At 42.9% G+C, this 17626-nt stretch overlaps 1 pseudogene; it reads right to left on the bottom strand.

The window, feature by feature from the left end:
• FKBP4P8 (FKBP prolyl isomerase 4 pseudogene 8) lies at window positions 1470–3078 on the bottom strand (annotated as a pseudogene).

Genomic DNA, 17626 nt, shown 5'->3' on the forward strand with positions numbered 1-17626 from the left:
ATCCTGCTCATTTTTAATTCTTCAGATAAAAATTTACCTACTATATCTTTAGAATAAACTTTTAATTAAAGTTAATTAAAATTAACTTTTAATTTTATTTTTATGTTTTTTTCTCTCCCTTGTGAAACAGTAGTATACTTGAAAACAGGAGAATTTTTTTTTATGTTACCAACGCAGTGCCTGGTAACAAATTTTTAGAGGCTACTATGTGTCAGGCTCTGTGATAAGCATTTTAAGCACTTTACTTCCGTAAGTCCTCGGAATAATCATACCCTCTTATATAAGTATTATTATGACCACCAAATCACAGATAAGAAAACAAGCATTAGAGAGAAATTAAGTCCAACTGATTCTAAATGCAGGAAGCTTGTACACTAGGTCTCCCTACATGGCTCCTCAATAAATAAATTAATTAAGAAATAAGAAGGGGCTGAGCACAGTGGCTCAAGCCTGTAATCCCAGCACTTTGGGAGGCCTAGGCAGGCAGATCACGAGGTCAGGAGATCGAGACCATCCTGACTAACATGGTGAAACCCCGTGTCTACTAAAAACACAAAAAAATTAGCCGGGCGTGGTGGCGGGTGCCTGTAGTCCCAGCTACTCGGGAGGCTGAGGCAGGAGAATGGCATGAACCCGGGAGGCGGAGCTTGCAGTGAGCCGAGATCTTGCCACTGCACTCCAGGCTGGGCGATAGAGCAAGACTCCGTCTCAAAAAAAAAAAAAAAAGAAAGAAGATGGGCTTAAAGTTTCATAAAATAGGCCGGGCGCGGTGGCTCACGCCTGTAATCCCAGCACTTTGGGAGGCCGAGGTGGGTGGATCATGAGGTCAGGAGATCGAGACCATCCTGGCTAACAAGGTGAAACCCCGTCTCTACTAAAAATACAAAAAAATTAGCCGGGCGCGGTGGCGGGCGCCTGTAGTCCCAGCTACTGGGGAGGCTGAGGCAGGAGAATGGCATGAACCCGGGAAGCGGAGCTTGCAGTGAGCCGAGATTGCGCCACTGCAGTCCGCAGTCCGGCCTGGGCGACAGAGCGAGACTCCGTCTCAAAAAAAAAAAAAAAAAAAAAAAACAACTCCTAGGGGAAATAAGAGGGATGCTGGGAGGGCTTTTTATTTGAGTGCCACTGTGGTCTTACTGATTTGAGTGCCCACTTGTTTCGGAATTTAGGGTGTGGGAGTGACCAAGGAGCACAGTGACTAGAGGGAACTAGAAACAAAATAGACATTGTTCACTTTGGTTGCTAAATTTAATATGTCCCTATTGCACTTTTTGTTTTGGGAAATTTTTCCAACATTAAGAAAAGCCCTTTTAAAGAAGAGTGTTAAAACATTGGTTACATGAGAACCAAGGAGGATTCACCTTACAAGGTGAAATTATGTGTTTTATTCAATTTTCACACTACTATAAAGAAATACCTGAGACTGTGTAATTTATAAATGAAAGAGGAGTTTTTTGTTTTGTTTTGTTTTCACTCAAAATTCTTCAGTTTTTACAAAACTAACAGGGTGGAGTGGGGAGGCTGGGGGGCAGGCAGCCTCAGGAGTAGGGCTGGTGAGAAGCGCTATGCTTCTGTCTCCACCTGAGACTGGCTCCCGCCGTGTTGCTCTTGCACTCCGCCTTCATCTCTGTGTCAGTGGGATGGTCTCCTGAGCAAGCCTCTGCCTTGGCCTTGTTCTCCTCCTCAGCCAGCCTCTCAAACATTTTGGCATAGAACTTCTCCCAGGCAAGCTGCCTGTGGATCCGCTGCTGACCCACAGCCAGCTGGGCCCTGGCGGCTTTGTCGTTGGGGTAGAGCTGCAGGACCTTCTGGAAGTCAGCCCATGCCAGTTCAAAGTCATTCACCGCCAGGTGGGCCTCTCCCCGGCGGAAGGGGCCCTTCTCGTTGTTGCTGCCCAGTTCTAGGGCATTGTTACAACTTTCAATGGCAGCAGAGAAGGCCTGTAGTTTCAGCTGACACATGGCCAGGTCGAGGTGAGAGGCCAGTCGAAGGGCCTGTGCCTTCTGTGCTTCCTCATTGGAAAAACTAGACTCATATTCCAGCCAGGACACAATCTTCTTACACTGTAGTAAAGCTTGCTTGTATTTGCCTTCCTTGAAGTACACACTGCCCTGCTCTTTCACTATGGTGTTCTGTTCCAGCTTCTCTTCTGAAATCATCTCCCAAGATTCCTTGGCCTTTTCAAAACTCTTGAGATGTAATTCATATTTCAGCTCGGCATTTGGTGGGATTTGGAACTTTTCCTTCCCAACACTGCCAAAAGCATAGCTGGGCTTGAGGTACACAGTGGAATGTTCTCCTTTCTCCAAGTGCTGAATGGCCCTCTCCAGATCATAAGGCAGATCCAGGTTCTCCCCCTCGCTAACCTCAAAGCGGAGCGCCCGTTGGTCAAAGAGCTGGTCCTTGCAGCACCCTTCCAGCGCAACCTCCACCATAGCGCCCTCATCGGGCTTGACATAGCCTTCACCGCGAGTCCCTATTCTGCGGATGATTCCCCCATCTTCCTCTTCCGTCAGATCTTCTTCCTTAAACAATTCCACCTCAAACACAAGCGTGGCGTTATGGGGGGATCGTTGGAGGACTGTCTGCTGAACCCTAGGCATATCCTGGTTTGCAGGTGATGTGGCCCACCTCCCCCACCTTCATGGTTGCTACGGCAATGTCCCAAGCCTTGATGACCTCCCCTTTTCCCAGGTCAAAGGAGAATTTGTCCTTGCGATCCACGCTGGAGTCAAACTTTGTGCCCTCTAACAGCCAGCCAGTGTAGTGGACAAAGACTAGGTCCCCAGTCATGGGCATCTCTGTACCTGTGCCCTCTCTCTTGATGACCTTCAGCACTCCTTCATCCTGTTTGGGGCTGACGTCCACTTCCTTCTTGGGCAGCGGCGCTGGCTGCGCCGCACTCTCGGTCGCCTTCATCTCCTTGGCTGTCATCTCTGCGTGGCGCGAAATTTTTCCGGGAGATGGCGCAGGCGCGAGTGCACTCTGGGCCGCAGGCGGGGGCGCTACCTGCAGGGCATGCGGCAGGCCGGACACTACGGCGCTGACTGCTGACCGCGCGGAGGCTGGAGCACCTCTCAGGAAACAGGTTTAATTGACACAGTTCCACGTGGCTGGGGAGGGCTCAGGAAACTTACAACCATGGCGGAAGGCAAAGGAGAAGCAAGTATCTTCTTCACAAGGCAGCAGGAAAAAGAAAACAGGCGAAACTTCCTCTTACAAAAAAACCATCAGATCTCATGAGAACTCACTCACCAGCACCAGCACAGCATCGGGGAAACTGTCCCTGTGATCCGACCACCCCCCACCAGGTCCCTCCTCGGATGTGTGGGGATTACAATTCGAGATGAGATTTGGATGGGGACAGAGAGCCAAACCATATCAGTATGTCTATTCAGAAAAATGTTTATACATATATATATATATATATATATATTTTTTTTTTTTTTTTCAGAGTGTTACTCTGTCACCCAGGCTGGAGTGCAGTAGCGCGATCTTGGCTCACTGCAACCTCTGTCTCCCGGGTTCAAGCGATTCTCCTGCCTCAGCCTCCCGAGTGGCTGGGATTACAGGCGCCCACCACCACGCCCAGCTACATATACATATATGTATTTTTAGCAGAGACCGGGTTTCACCATGTTGGCCAGGCTGGTCTTGAACTCCTAACCTCAGGTGATCCGCCCGCTGGTGTAAGCCACTGAGCCTGGCCAGAAAAATGTTATTTATATTCTAATGGTACCAACTTCAATACCCTTTATCACTCTGAACCACAGTTTTTTAATTTAATAAGGAAAATTGGGTAGAAAAATGTATTAAAATATATATTAATCTATCAAATACTACACAAAGACAAGTCTTTAAATGGGTTAGGCAATATACTGAAGTTGAACACCAGTAAAACGTTGAGTAACCCCTCCATAGAATTCCCATAGAAATCTCTTCCTTACCATAAACCTAAGATCATTGCTCTCTCTCACTACCACAGGGATGTGATTTTAGCATTTGTATCCAATTTGCGGGTAGCCTAAGCCATCAGTGAGATATTTGGCATTCTGTATCTAAGCCTGTTCCCTCACCACCACACTTCTTCATTTCTCTTGGTTCTAGTCTATCTGTAGAAAACACTGAAAAGTGACAAGATGTCTATTTCAAAATTATACACTCATTGCTCACTAAATATTAGCTCTTCAATCACCTGGAGGTACCTGGTATCAGTCTCTCCCGCCTCTCTATGTAGAAGAGGGAGGGGTATTCTGACTGTTGGGTGGTTGTATATTCTCTCAGTTTTCAAAAGTGTCTACTAATTAAATGCCATTGGACATGTGCTCCTACTTCCTGTGGGGGATGAGACACAGTGTGACACAAAAGACAAAATGTCCTTTCTGTATGTTATTATGTCACTTTGTTCATATTCTGTGACCCTACACATTTATAATGTCACCTTTACCTTTCATTATGTTCATACGTGCACACTATATTCTGAGACCCCTCATTTCATTGTTGATTTGTCGATTTCTGAACAAACAGCAGTTTTAATTATTTTAACTTCAGACTTTTCAGTAGGAAAAGTCATATCTGATTTTTATTTTGCTTGAAAATGCTTCTTACTCATATTCTCCTCAGGATGAAATTCCCCTCATCCTGATACTCAGTAACCGCATTCATTCCATCCATTCCACCTGACTTTCTCCCCATCTATTAGCTCCTGCTGTATTCGTTTCTCATCTTATCAAGCTTAGGAAGAATATCGTCCATTATTTACCATTTCCTCTCTTCTATCATTAGTCAAAACTGTGTTTCTCCAAGTGTGGTCCATGAAACTACTGCCTCTGAATTACCAGGGGTACTTGCTAAAATGCATATTCCTAGGCCCCATTCAATCTGGAATGAATGAAGCTTGAAATCTGCAAATGGAATATGCGCCTCTGAAGTACATTATCGTTTGATAGCTGCTTCCCTAGCCTCTCTGCCCATCGCATGGCATCACTCTCACAAACCCTGACTCAGGATGAACCTGCCTTTCTGCCTTCTTATGGCCTTTAACTAACGGGTGAGTGGTGTGACTGAACGAGCATTCACCACAATCCACTTCAACAGGCTTCAAACACCACTGATAATCCTGATACAGAAGTCAGCATCTGCCACACATTCTCCCTATCAGCAGTGACCCAAGTGTTCAGTCCCAGCCAGTACCTCACTTCACTTATATTGAGTTTCCTTTAATGGGCCACTGTTGCTCTTTTCTCCCAATACTTGTGAGTCTGAGACACCCTAGTTTATCAAACATGTTCTAAATGGCACTGAAGCTCAAAGAGAAATGGTCTGGATGCCACTTCCCTTCTGCACAAATGGCTCTTTTATATCTCTATAAATTTGCAAAAGAAAAATAGATACTTCTAGAAGCAGGAGCAACCTCACTTATCAGACCATTGATAAGACAAACATAGTTACAACCATCCCCTGAACCATGCGTTGGGCACTTGCCTTATACCTGTTATCATGAGAGGGACTGTCCAAGTGGTTCATGCCAGAGAAAAAGAGAGTTTTCCCAATGTAAATGAACTTAACCTCTAAGGATTTAATACTTCTAGTAATTTCAAAATGATTTTAAAAAATTAAACTTCTTCTTTGCTCCTTAAATTTCCCTGTACCTCACACTGTAAATGAGTGCACAAGAAAGATTAAAAAAAAGATGGCACTAAAATTTTAGCTGTTATTTGGGAATGATGAAAATAGGAGTGATTTTTAAATTATTATTTTTACAAAGTAACATTTATTAATTTTGTAATTAGAAGGAAGAAAGATAATATTTATTTCACAAATATGCTCCAACTTGAAAATGCTTTGAAGATGAGGGGTGAGGTCAGCAGCCTGCTGTGTCAGTAAGGTACTTTAGCCTTGGGTCCTGTACACACTTACAACAGCAGGAAAATCTGGTGCTTTGGGAAAAGGTGTCCACAGGGGCTAAGGCACAAAATAAGAGGGCTGCATATGGACTGTGTGAAGTAATAAATTCCTGAAGGCCTGCTTATTCTATGTATTTAAAATTTAAAATTACCCATTCCAAGCATGGAAAAGACAGTTTAGGGTCTTTATAACCAAAGAGGATAAGAATGATCTGTTCTCCTTAATGGAACCCCAGAGACTAGAATTTAACTATTTCCTGGCTCCATTCCACTTCTACCACCCCAATTTGAGTCTAGAACTCAAAGTACAATTCATCCTAGATTCTATGCACATGTACAAATCATCACATTTGTTTTATCTAGAAGTGTAATGGTAACTTAGTGTTGCAAGAAAAGCCCTATGTCTATTCAGAAAATGTTATTTATATTCTAATGGTACCAACCCCTCCCTTGACTTGGCTCTGTAACCATTCTGGTAAAAAGGAAGAATTATGGTAAATAGGAGGGATTACAGGTTGAAGATGGACAATCACTCAAAACTTGAAAAGAAAAAGTCACTCCACTGCCTAAAGCACTTCAATGATTGCCCATTGCATTCAGAATAAAATTCAAGTTGCTTATCCTGACCTATGAAGCCCTAAACCCTTCCATTCCTCTGCCTTTCACAGTTTATCTTATGCCAGTCTCTCTCTGTGCCATCCTCATGGACATGAATAGTCTTCTTTGGTCTGAAGATTATTCTTGGTTGCTTTATATACTGCTTAATAATAAGAAGAAATTTGCCCCCTTTGAATTCCAAATAAGATAAAAGAAGTGGCTGGATGTTATCACAAGTACAACATTTCTGTTTGGGAAGTATGGAATACTTCTCAGCCATAAAAAAGAATGAAATTATACTTTTTGCAGCAATATGGATGGAACTGGAGGCCATTATCTTAAGTGATATAACTCAGAAACAGAAATTCAAAGACTGCATGTTCTCACTTATAAGTGAGAGATAAGTAATATGTACCTATGGACATGAAAAGTGGAATAGACATTGAAGACTCATTGGAGATTTTGGAGACTCCAGTAGACACTGGAAGGGTGAGAGGGAAGTGAGGGATGAGAAATTACCTGAAAGGTACACTGTACACTATTTGGGTGATGGGTACACTAAATGCTGAGGTTTCACCAGCACACAATATATCCATGTAACAAAACTGCACTTGTACCCCCTGAGTCTATTTTTAAAAGTGATTAAAATCTGTATGTTCTCCCCAACCAGCATTTGCCAGAACAGTGGTCCCCATGCGCCTGCAGGGACTTGACCAACTATTAGGGCAGAGGCCTGCTACTTATCTACTTCCATGGTGAAGAAAACCACAACAGCTTTGGTGACCAAGAATGTGGAATCCTTTGAGGAACCTCTGCTAGGGTCCAACCTGCAGACCCTGACCCAGCGATGGATGAATGAAGTACACTGACACACAGATATTCTGCTTTGCCAGTCCAGCTGAGTGTCTGAGCCACCTACAGACTCCCTGGAGAGTACTGTAAACAGTTGCAACTCCTCGATCAGTCAGTGAGACTTGCATTTATTTAGTAAAGATTAATTGACAAAGGTCATAGGAAAACACCATTAGAGGGTAACTGACATTGTGGACTTCCTGAGTAGAAAGCAATTAAGCACCCAGGGTACATCAAAGGTTAGTCTTAGGAAAACAAGTTAGTTAGATAAACTACTCTACATTATTTTGTATTTGTGCCTTAAGCTCTCTAGCTCCTGCAAAGAGACTCTGGCTGCCTTCAGCCAGACAATCAGAAGCTATGCAAACTCTCAGGCTTTCCAAGAGAGTTTGTGGCTATTACTATAACTATCATTAATATTTTTCCAATTGGCCTGATTGAACCCCCACAAACCTCAACTTCAGCAGAGAGCTGGAAGCAGGGTAAGGAACTGCAGTTGCCTTTGCAATTCATTGAGAATAAAGAGAAACTAAAGGGACTTCAAACTCATTTGAATAACCTTAGTCTCTTTGTGTCATAGAATATTCTTAAAATACTTTCAAGGTAAATCATGATATGACTCACAGAGGGAAAAGATCTGTCATTTTGGAGACCTTAAAATACTTGATTTTTAAAAACGTGTGCATTTTACTTACCCTTGTGATATAAAGTGCTAAGATTTCACAGGGGTTGTGTAAAAATGTGCATTTTATATTCAGAGAAAAGGCTGCAAGCACAGAGATGTCACTTCAGGGATTCAGTTTCTAGTTGTTATCTTATTGTCAATCCTTTCAGCTTGGTCATCTCTATATCCCCACACACCAGCTCATTAAAGTAAGATATTTGCTATGTTTTATGTATAATATAGAGAAAAGCAGACATCACTTTCCACAACTCATATGTTTCTGAAGTGATATGTACTCTTTGTAAGACTCAGAAATCATCCCTCTCTGCTTACCTAATCAAAAAGTAGAAAATCAAATATTTCTGGTATGATGCTGCTTTTCACCATTTTAAATGTGACTAGAAAAGGCTTGCATGCACCTTACTGTAGAAATAAAGGTAGACTACCCACATGAGAACAGGTGATTAATTCAAAGTTTGGGAGTGGGAAAGCTTTAGAGTGAGCAAAAAATGGGAGGGAAAGCGTGGGGGAAGGCTTCAAGTATGCTCTGATTGCATGTAGTTGGCAAGGGGAAGTTGGAAGTAGGTTAACTAGAAGCAGAGTATCTTATGTGGTTGGTTTGGGGAACATATTTTGCTTTATTTGGTTGGTTCTAAGTTGGAAACAAGGCAAAATAGGGAAGCTAACAGTCATTAATGATATCCTGACCACTTGGGACCAATTACTGCCAATGATGCGGTTTGGCTTCCTGGACTGGTGGCTTCAGAGATTGTGAATCAGAATTCTATTGTCATATCATCTGACCACTACTCATTTGAATATTTATCCTCTCAGCCCCCCATTATGGTCATTCTCTTACTTACGAGAGATTGACCAATTCAGGGGCAGCTAGAAACCCACATCTTCACCACTATGATATTGCCGAGTGGTCTCCATTGCAAACTATATTGTGAGGTCTTGACTTTTTGTTGTTGTGTCACCACTGAGAGGTGAGGCCAGTTGGACTTCCTGGGTCCAGTGGGGACTTGGGGAACTTCCCTGTCTTACAAGAGGATTGTATAAAGCACCAATCAGCACTCTGTAAAATGCACCAGTCAGCAGATTCTAAAAGTAGCCAATTGCCTGGAGGATTGAAAAAAGGGCATTCTGATAGGACAGGAACAGAATATGGGAGGGGCCAATAAGGGAATAAAAGCTGGCCACCCCAGCCAGCAGTGGCAACCTGCTCCCCTTTCCATGCTGTGGAAGCTTTCCTCTTCACAATAAACCTTGCTAGTGCTCAGTTTGGGTCTGTGCCATCTTTAAGAGCTGTAACAGTCACAGCGAAGGTCTGTGGCTTTATTCTTGAAGTCAGCGAGACCATGAACCCACCAGTAGGAACCAACTCCGGACACAGTATGGCAATGATCTCTGGTGAGAACAGCTGCCCAGTAGAATGTAAGACTTGGCAGAGGATGTGATGGACCTGCATCATGGCAGGTATGACCAAAGTGTTGCACGCTTTGTAGTTCCGTGTGCAGGGTGGAATGGCGCCCAGCGGCTTTTTCCCCCCTGTTGCTTGGCGAGTGAGAGGGAGGTTACAGTGTTACAGAATTCCTTCAGTGCCGCTTCACCAGCTGGAAATCTCTGTGGCTGCACTGACTTCTGTTCCGGCCCTTGCTCAGGCCTGCCGGGTTGCTCTGCCCACTTGGCCCAGCAGGCTGCGCTTGGCTCACATTACTGGCCCAGATCCTGTGGTCAGTGTGGCTGCGTGCTCAGCTCATAGCTGGACTGGGCATGCTGCAATTGGCTTCCATATTGGGCGCTGGTATCTAGATGAAGGGGAGGTGGTGGCGCCAGAATACTTGGAGATGACAGCAACTGCAAAGCCCCAAAGGGTGTTACAGCTTTTGCTTGGGGAGTCCTGAGGTCTGAGCCCCCTGGAAATGTTACAGTTCTCTCTGGTTCCTGCTGCCTGCAGCCCAGTGAACAGGGGTGCCTTACATCTCCTTTGTTACTGTCACCCGCAGCTTGGGGAGTTCCCACAACCAACAAGAATAAGGTGTGTGGACAGCAGAGAGTGAGAAAGGCAGAGAAGAATTTTATTGAGCGGCAGAAAAGCTCTCAACACAAGAGGGGACCTGAAGTGGGTAGACTTCTGTGTGAAAGGGGGCCTGAAAGCCGGCAGCCATCTGTGTGGCTGAGTATAGGATTTTTAAGGGCTCAGAATGGGGGAGTGCATGCTGATTGGGCCGGGGGAGGTCTTGGAAAAAGCACCATTTATTGGTTAAAAGGCATAGAGGATGTTCTCACTCCGGTTGTGGACTCTACCTAGAACTGGCAGTTGGGTTTTCAGGGGTCAGGCTGTCTTTGGCTTAAAGGTCGGGTTTCAAAAACAAAAATAATCACTAGTCCCTATAAAATGTTACAGAAGCAGAAATTCTAATTTTCCAACCCAGACCAAGAGAACATATAGGCCACAGACCTTGAAGATCTGCCTTAGAATGGCAATTATCTTTTTTCCATAAGGAAATGTGAGATGTAGAGCCTGTTTTACTTTGCCTGTTTCGTTGATTCAAATATAGTGAGAAGTATTAGCAATAACACAGAGCTACCATGAGTAGCCAACAAGAAATCTAGAGAAATGTGGTTATTATTACTTGTACCAATGAATTGAGGCTGATTTATATTTCGTATAGGGAAGAGACAATGTCATTAACTTCTGCCAGAGTTATTGGTGATAAAATTATTGGTGATGGTTTTCTTACAGTTTTTTTCTATTTGTACAATTCTCACTCTGATTATTCACACAGTGAGTCAGTAAGTCCCCCAGGTAGACTGCCTGAATAATCAAGGGTGGCCACATTTGGAAGCTCCAGTCTGAGGTGGAATTTCCAGACTTCCGTTTGGAAACTGGGGTTGACCCACTGATATTTTATAATGGCCTATCTGAATCCTTAGGAACTTCTCCTTTGAAGATTTACAGAAGACAATAACTTTAGGCCGGGCTCGGTGGCTCACGCTTGTAATCCCAGCACTTTGGGAGGCTGAGGCAGGCGGATCACGAGGTCAGGAGATGGAGACCATCCTGGCTAACACAGTGAAACCCCATCTCTACTAAAAAAAAAAAAAAAAAAAAAAAAAAGGCCAGGCGTGGCAGCGGGCGCATGTAGTCCCAGCTACTCAGGAGGCTGAGGCAGGAGAATGGCGTGAACCCAGGAGGCGGAACTTGTAGTGAGCTGAGATGGCGCCACTGCACTCCAGCCTGGGCGACAGAGCAAGAATCCATCTCAAAAAACAAAAACCAACCAACCAAACAAACAAACAAAAACATTAACTTTAGTTAAGGCTTTTTTTTTTGGCATAAAGTTCTGTTAGAATTTTTTCTTTAGTTTTTCTATTACCTTCTTTCTTTGTATGGGCCTCAACCTTAAAATAGCCAACTCTAGAAAGTAGAGTGCCTTAACTTATTCATTTTCATGGGGTTTCCAGCAGAGATGATGAATTTCTTTTTTTCCCCAAAGCATCCCAAATTCATGTAGTACTCTAAAAGCATACCTGCTCTATGTTTACTACATGGTCTTCAGCTAATTGACAAGCTCTAGTAAGTGTAATAAATTCCATTATATGGGTTGATTTTACCTCAGATAGAAAATATATTCTAAAGTAGAGCTTAAATTAGTGATAATTTTCAATATCAGTTTTGAGGTATGATCCATCAATGAATAACATTGAATCAGAGTTCACAATGAGAGTCAGTCTCTCATCAATCTGAGTGAGGTACAGAAACTCCCCTAACTGACTTATAACCATCATGAGGTTCCCTTCTTCTGGCAGGGGGAGAAGAGTGGCAGTTTAAGGAATTGCATCAGTGAATAGTAAAGCGAGAGAGAGGGAGTAAAACTCTCATAAGAAGTTGATCAGCTGGTTGGAAAGTATTGCATGCTCTTTGTCAGTGGTTATGTCTACACTGGCCAGGGAATCATGATGTGAGGTGGGGAGCCTAGAAATAGTTTAAAAGAAGCATCAACAAATGTTGCAGTGGAAGCTGTTGCCTTAAGACAAGGGCTATAAGCCTTTGCAGCTGGGTCAAGGGTAAGGCTATGGAAAATGATGAATTTTTGATGGTTTCCATGACATTGAGTTAAAAACAAAAAAGCTTGTACAAGTTGTCCACGCACAATTAGACAAAATGGCATATTGTAGTCAGGGGTGCCTAATTATGAAAGGGAGTGCCTAACTACCACAGGAAGAGGCTACTGAAGAGCCTTCTTGAGTTACAGAATTTATATTTGGGCCCCCACAAAAGACAGTTTCTCACTAAGGACTCGGCCAATTCATAAAAAGAGATTGCAAGCTCAGAAAAATTTCGCAGCCATTGTCTACAATATCCAGTTAAATCTAGAAATCCTCTCAATTGTCATTTTGCGAGGCATCGAGGTGAAGTTTCGATAGTGTTCTGCCTACCAATAGAGACAAAATAATTTCACCCTCTTAAGATAACTTATGCCCTAAATACTAGCCTGTCTTTTGACAAAATTATAATTTATCTTTTGAAACATTATGTTCTTTTTCTGCTATGGCTGAGAGCAAGTATTTACTTGCTCTCACCTTCTCACCAGCTTCCTCGTTCTCTGAAGAAAGCAGTGGAGATCATCTGATCCTGCATATATTGCATCAAAACCGAATCACAAGTGAAATTTAGATCTTTAAGTCTTGATTGAGGACTTGTGGAAAGTAAGAGGGGGCTTTAGTGAGCCCCTGGGGTATGACTATCCGGGTATATTTGTTGTCCTCTCCAGATGAAGGCAAAGTCGTTGCCTGTTCTGGTTTGGAAGCACACTGAAAAATGCACAGTAAAGATTCAATATGGTGAAGCAAGTGGTTTTGGGCAGAATTGATGACAGGATAGGTACTACTAGGAAGCAAAGCAAAACAATTTTGTTGATCTTTCCTGAGGTCATGAAAAAAGTGTACCAGCAGAACAAGTGTGGTGTATGGGCTATTGCAGCGTATGAGAAAGTCTTTGGTTATAAGGTCGTCAACTACAGTTTTGAAGCCTTCCTTTGCTTCTGGTTTTTCAAGGAATATCAGGGAAGTTTGACCATGGTTTACTAGGATACTTCTGAACTTGACTAGGTTCTGCTCCAGTAATTTCCCATATAAATGGATTTTTTTAGTTTGTAGAGTGTTAGGTAGAGTGTTGAGGTCTTTATCTGGAGCGTATGTCAAATATAATGAAGGAGACAAACGTATATCCAGAGACGACATATAGAGGAACCCTCAGGAGACTCTGCTGTGCATTTATTGTTTTTCTGAGACAGAGTGTTGCTCTGTTACCCGGGCTGGAGTGCAGAGGTGTGATCTTGGCTCACTGCAACCTCTGCATCCCGGGTTCAGGTGATCCTCCCATTTTAGCCTCCCAAGTAGCTGGGATTACAAGCATGTGCCACCACACCAGCTAATTTTCGTATTTCTTTTTTTTTTTTTTTTAGTAGCGGCAGGGTTTCACCGTGTTATCCAGGCTGGTCTTGAACTCCTGTACTCAAGTGGTCCACCCACCTCAGCCTCCCAAAGTGCTAGGATTACAGGCGTGAGCCACCATGCCCAGCTGGTGCACTTACTATTATAATTCTATTTGAAAATTAAGTTACTCCCCATTAAATTTGCAAGAGTGTTATAATAGAGCAGGGAGAAATGTTTTTAAGTCAAGTACCCAAAGGTTGTAGTTACAGTAGGAGATAGAAGGAATCTGTGGGTTATTTGAGATACCTGCTACTTGCTTCCTATGAGGAAAATGTTGAGCAAAATTGCCAGGGTTTAATGTAGAAAGAGTTAGTGCCTGGCTGGGCATGGTGGCTCACACCTGTAATCCCAGCACTTTGGGGGGCCAAGGCAGGCAGATCACCTGAGGTCAGGAGTTCTAGAGCAGCCTGACCAACATGGCAAAACCCCATCTCTACTAAAAATACAAAAAAAAAAAAAAAAAAAAAGCAGGGTATCATGATGCATGCCTGTAGTCCCAGTTACTCAGGAGGCTGAGGCAGGAGAATCGCTTGAACCCAGGAAGCGGTTGCAGTGAACCGAGATTGTGCCAATGCACTGCAGCCTCAGTGACAGAGTAAGACTCTGTCTCAAAACAAAAAAAGAAAGAAAGAAAAGAAAGAGTAGCGCCCATATTGCCAGGAATTGCTGAGGTTGGCCACCTATATTTATGGTTAATTCACCTTGAATGTTAAATTTTAAATCAGGATATTGGGTACCTTCATTGATCTAAATTAAGGGGTCTTTTGGTCTTATTTTTACTGGAAAATCATTTTTCAGGTGTCCCTTCTGTTTTCAATATCTGCAGGTGTCCTCTTCTATGGGTCGTCCACTCAACTGTTTGATCTGCAGGGCCGTAAGGTTATTCTGGATCCTGTCTTGTTATTGTCCTAGGGCTCTGCAAAAATGTCAGCCAGGTGTTGAAGTTCAGGTAAAGTGGCTATTTCCCATTCTAATTTTGATCTAATTATTGTCTCCAATTTCAGGTTTAATTCCATTAACAAAGTAGGTAAAAGAGCCATTATTACACTTACACTTCTTTAACACTCAAATGTTGTTGAAAGGGGTTTTCTAGTTTATTCTGAAAATCTCCTATAATTTCTTCTTTTCTTTATTTACATGATTAAATTGTGGTCCATTTTATTTTTACTAGAAATGTTTCAAGTAAGGCTTTTAGGATACATTGCCCTACTTTTTGAGCCTCTTTTTGGCCCTCAGGCTTATTGTGGAAAGAAAGATGCTGTAGATCTCTGTCCTGGTGAATCCAACTGGCTTTTGCCATCAGGATTTAATGTCTGAGGATCTACAAACATAAATACAAGTTGATATAGCTCAGGTAACCCTGAGTTGTGTACAACTAAAAGAATTTAGAATTCTGAACTCCTTTGGGAAATGCTTAGTCATAGCTTTTAATTCAGCTCGTGTTCAAGGTTTAAATTCTACTGCTGCTTGCGTATTTGGGTCATTGAAGAGATGGAACTTTAGAGGTAAATGACATTCCGGGATCTTAGGAGAGTCACTGGGAGAAGGTAGGGGGTCTGGAAGAAGAGGGAGGAGTCAATGAGGTGTGAAAGGAGGATGGGGGGATGAGGAAGAGTTGCAGAGCTGAAGTCAACTGGAGGAGAAGCCGGGGGAAGATTTGCTGGGCAAATGAGTTAGTTTGTTGTTAAGTTTGTCATACTGTTCATTAGCTCTGGCCAAAAAATATTTTAGCAGAGTAATGTCTGAATCAGAATTTCATTTGAAAACTTGTGTACCAATCAAAAACTGCTGCCCATTGCCCCTGAGAAATATTCTCTCTTTTCTAAGGTGTTTTTCAAATGAACAATTTTGTTCAAGTCCAATGTTCTCCAGATTAGCCACTGAAGGCCTAAATTATCCTTGGTATAGAGATGGGTGCAAGTGCTAGGATCGTAGCAAGGGTACGTATAAGAAATGGGAGGTTTTTCTGGAGGAAAAAAAGGAAAAGAGGATTTACACTCAGAAAATTCCATGGGAGCTGGCAATGGTCAGTTGAAAGTAATATTTGTGCACTTTATGTCTTAGGCCCCCAACCTGATAGTTGGCAACCTCCAAATGCAGACTTGACAACTTGTGCCCACAGGCAAATGGAAAACCAGAATATTCCCTCTGCATCAAATCCAACCTCTCAGGGCCAAAAAAAAAAAAAAAAAAAAAAAAAGATGAAGAACCTTATCCCATTTTATTGGTGACTGACAGGAAAGTTTAGGAAAGTTTGTCCAGATGGATGCTGGTTTGGTAAGAATTGCAGCTCATCAGTTGTGGAGCAAGCTGAGACACTCTTAGAGGAGCAAAGCCTGTGTTCTGCACTGATTCTCCTTCTGATAACAGACAACACTTTAGACATATCTCATAAAACAGAAGCACAAAAGAGAACAAAAAGGAATGAAAAGAAATGGCAGTATTTTTCCAAGGGTGCCAAACAAATGGGAATTGGTAGCAAAAGCTGAGTACCAAGCTGATAGTCAATAACCAAGGATCTCAATACAAAGAGAACAGAGTTGAAGCCCAACTCTGTTCTCTCACAGACACTGTGTCAACACAGACTTGACAGGCCTCAAGAAGCAAGGCACAAGAGGCCTCCATAGATAGCACACTTGATCAGGGTCCAAAGTCCATAGTGATGAGCAGTTAAGAATGTGTCTCAGTGGAGCTTCTAGGAAAATTACAGAAATACAGACCAGGCATGGTGGCTCATGCCTATAAACCCAGCACTTTGGGAGGCTGAGGCAGGTGGATCACCTGAGGTCAGGAGTTCGAGACCAGCCTGGCCAACATGGTGAAACCCTGTCTCTACAAAAAATACAAAAATTAGACAGGTGTGGTAGCACATGCCTGTAGTTTCAGCTACTTGGGAGGCTGAGGCAGGAGAATCTCTTGAACCTGGGAGGCAGAGATTGCAGTGAGCCCATATCGTGCTGCTGCACTCCAGTCTGGGCGACAGGGCAAGATTCAGTCTCAAAAAAATTAAAAAATTAAAAAAAAAAACAGAAAATTACAGAAATAAAGGAGACAACTTAATGAGAACAGAAGCTATTTATTTCTTGCTTGCTAGAGAAAGGGAGGCAGTCACTATCATTTATGTTTGACAGAGACTCAGGCTGGGAGAATGGGAAAGCTTTATAGTGAAAAGGGGCAAGGCTTTGGGGTAGGAGGCTATGGGCATGGAGAGGCGCAGGTAGGCTAAAGAGAAGCAAGGCATCTGATGGGATAGGTTTGGAGAGAGTATTTGGCTTTCTTTAATTAGTACTAAACTAGAAGCAGGGGCAATCTTAGAGAAGTTGGCAGTCATTGACCAACCTCTGATTGTTTTCGGCAAATTGCTACTGAATTTGTGGCTTGCATTCCTGAACTGGCTGCTGCAGAGATTGTGGTTTGCCTTCCCAAGCTGGTTGCTGCAGTGGTTGTGGGTCAGAGTTCCATTGTCGTACGTGGTTTGGCCACTGTCTGTTTTAATATTCAGTCTCTATTACTAAAAGGTATACAAATGGCTAGGCTTCTCACTTCAGTTCTTCATGTACAAGCTCCTTTTAGAGGTTTCTGCACTAAACTATTGTAAAAAAAAAAAAGAAAAAAAAAGGCCAACTCCATTTATCCAATGTCAACCTTGACGTTAAGAATGATGAATGTGGCAGCTGTTTCCTTCTGTTATTGATCTTTTTACTGACCCTTCCCATTGTGCTTTGTCAATGACTGAGTATCTTCCCTGGACCGCTCTTATCTGAAGTCGTCCTCATCTCTCAGGGATTTTCAGCACCATCTGTCAGCCAGGCACTGTGACTCTGTCGTCAGTGACCATTTTTATTGACTTTTGTCTCTTTCTGGCCTTTCCATGGTGCCTTGGCCTTAAATGTCCTACTAATTAGCTCAGTGGTGATTACAGTGCTGGTTTTGAGAGCACCCTGTTGTTTTTTTCTTATCTAGGAGAATTTTTTTTCTCTCTTTATCTGGAAATATTACTTTGCTGGCTATGCTGACTTAGGTCATTGACATCAGATCAGTGTTCTAAATCTGATCCTAGTAATCCCATCTACAATCTTCCCACACAAGCCAAGGGAAGAGA

This window comes from Homo sapiens, chromosome 9 (genome assembly GCF_000001405.40).
Source record: "Homo sapiens chromosome 9, GRCh38.p14 Primary Assembly".
Taxonomy (NCBI): Eukaryota; Metazoa; Chordata; class Mammalia; order Primates; family Hominidae; genus Homo; species Homo sapiens.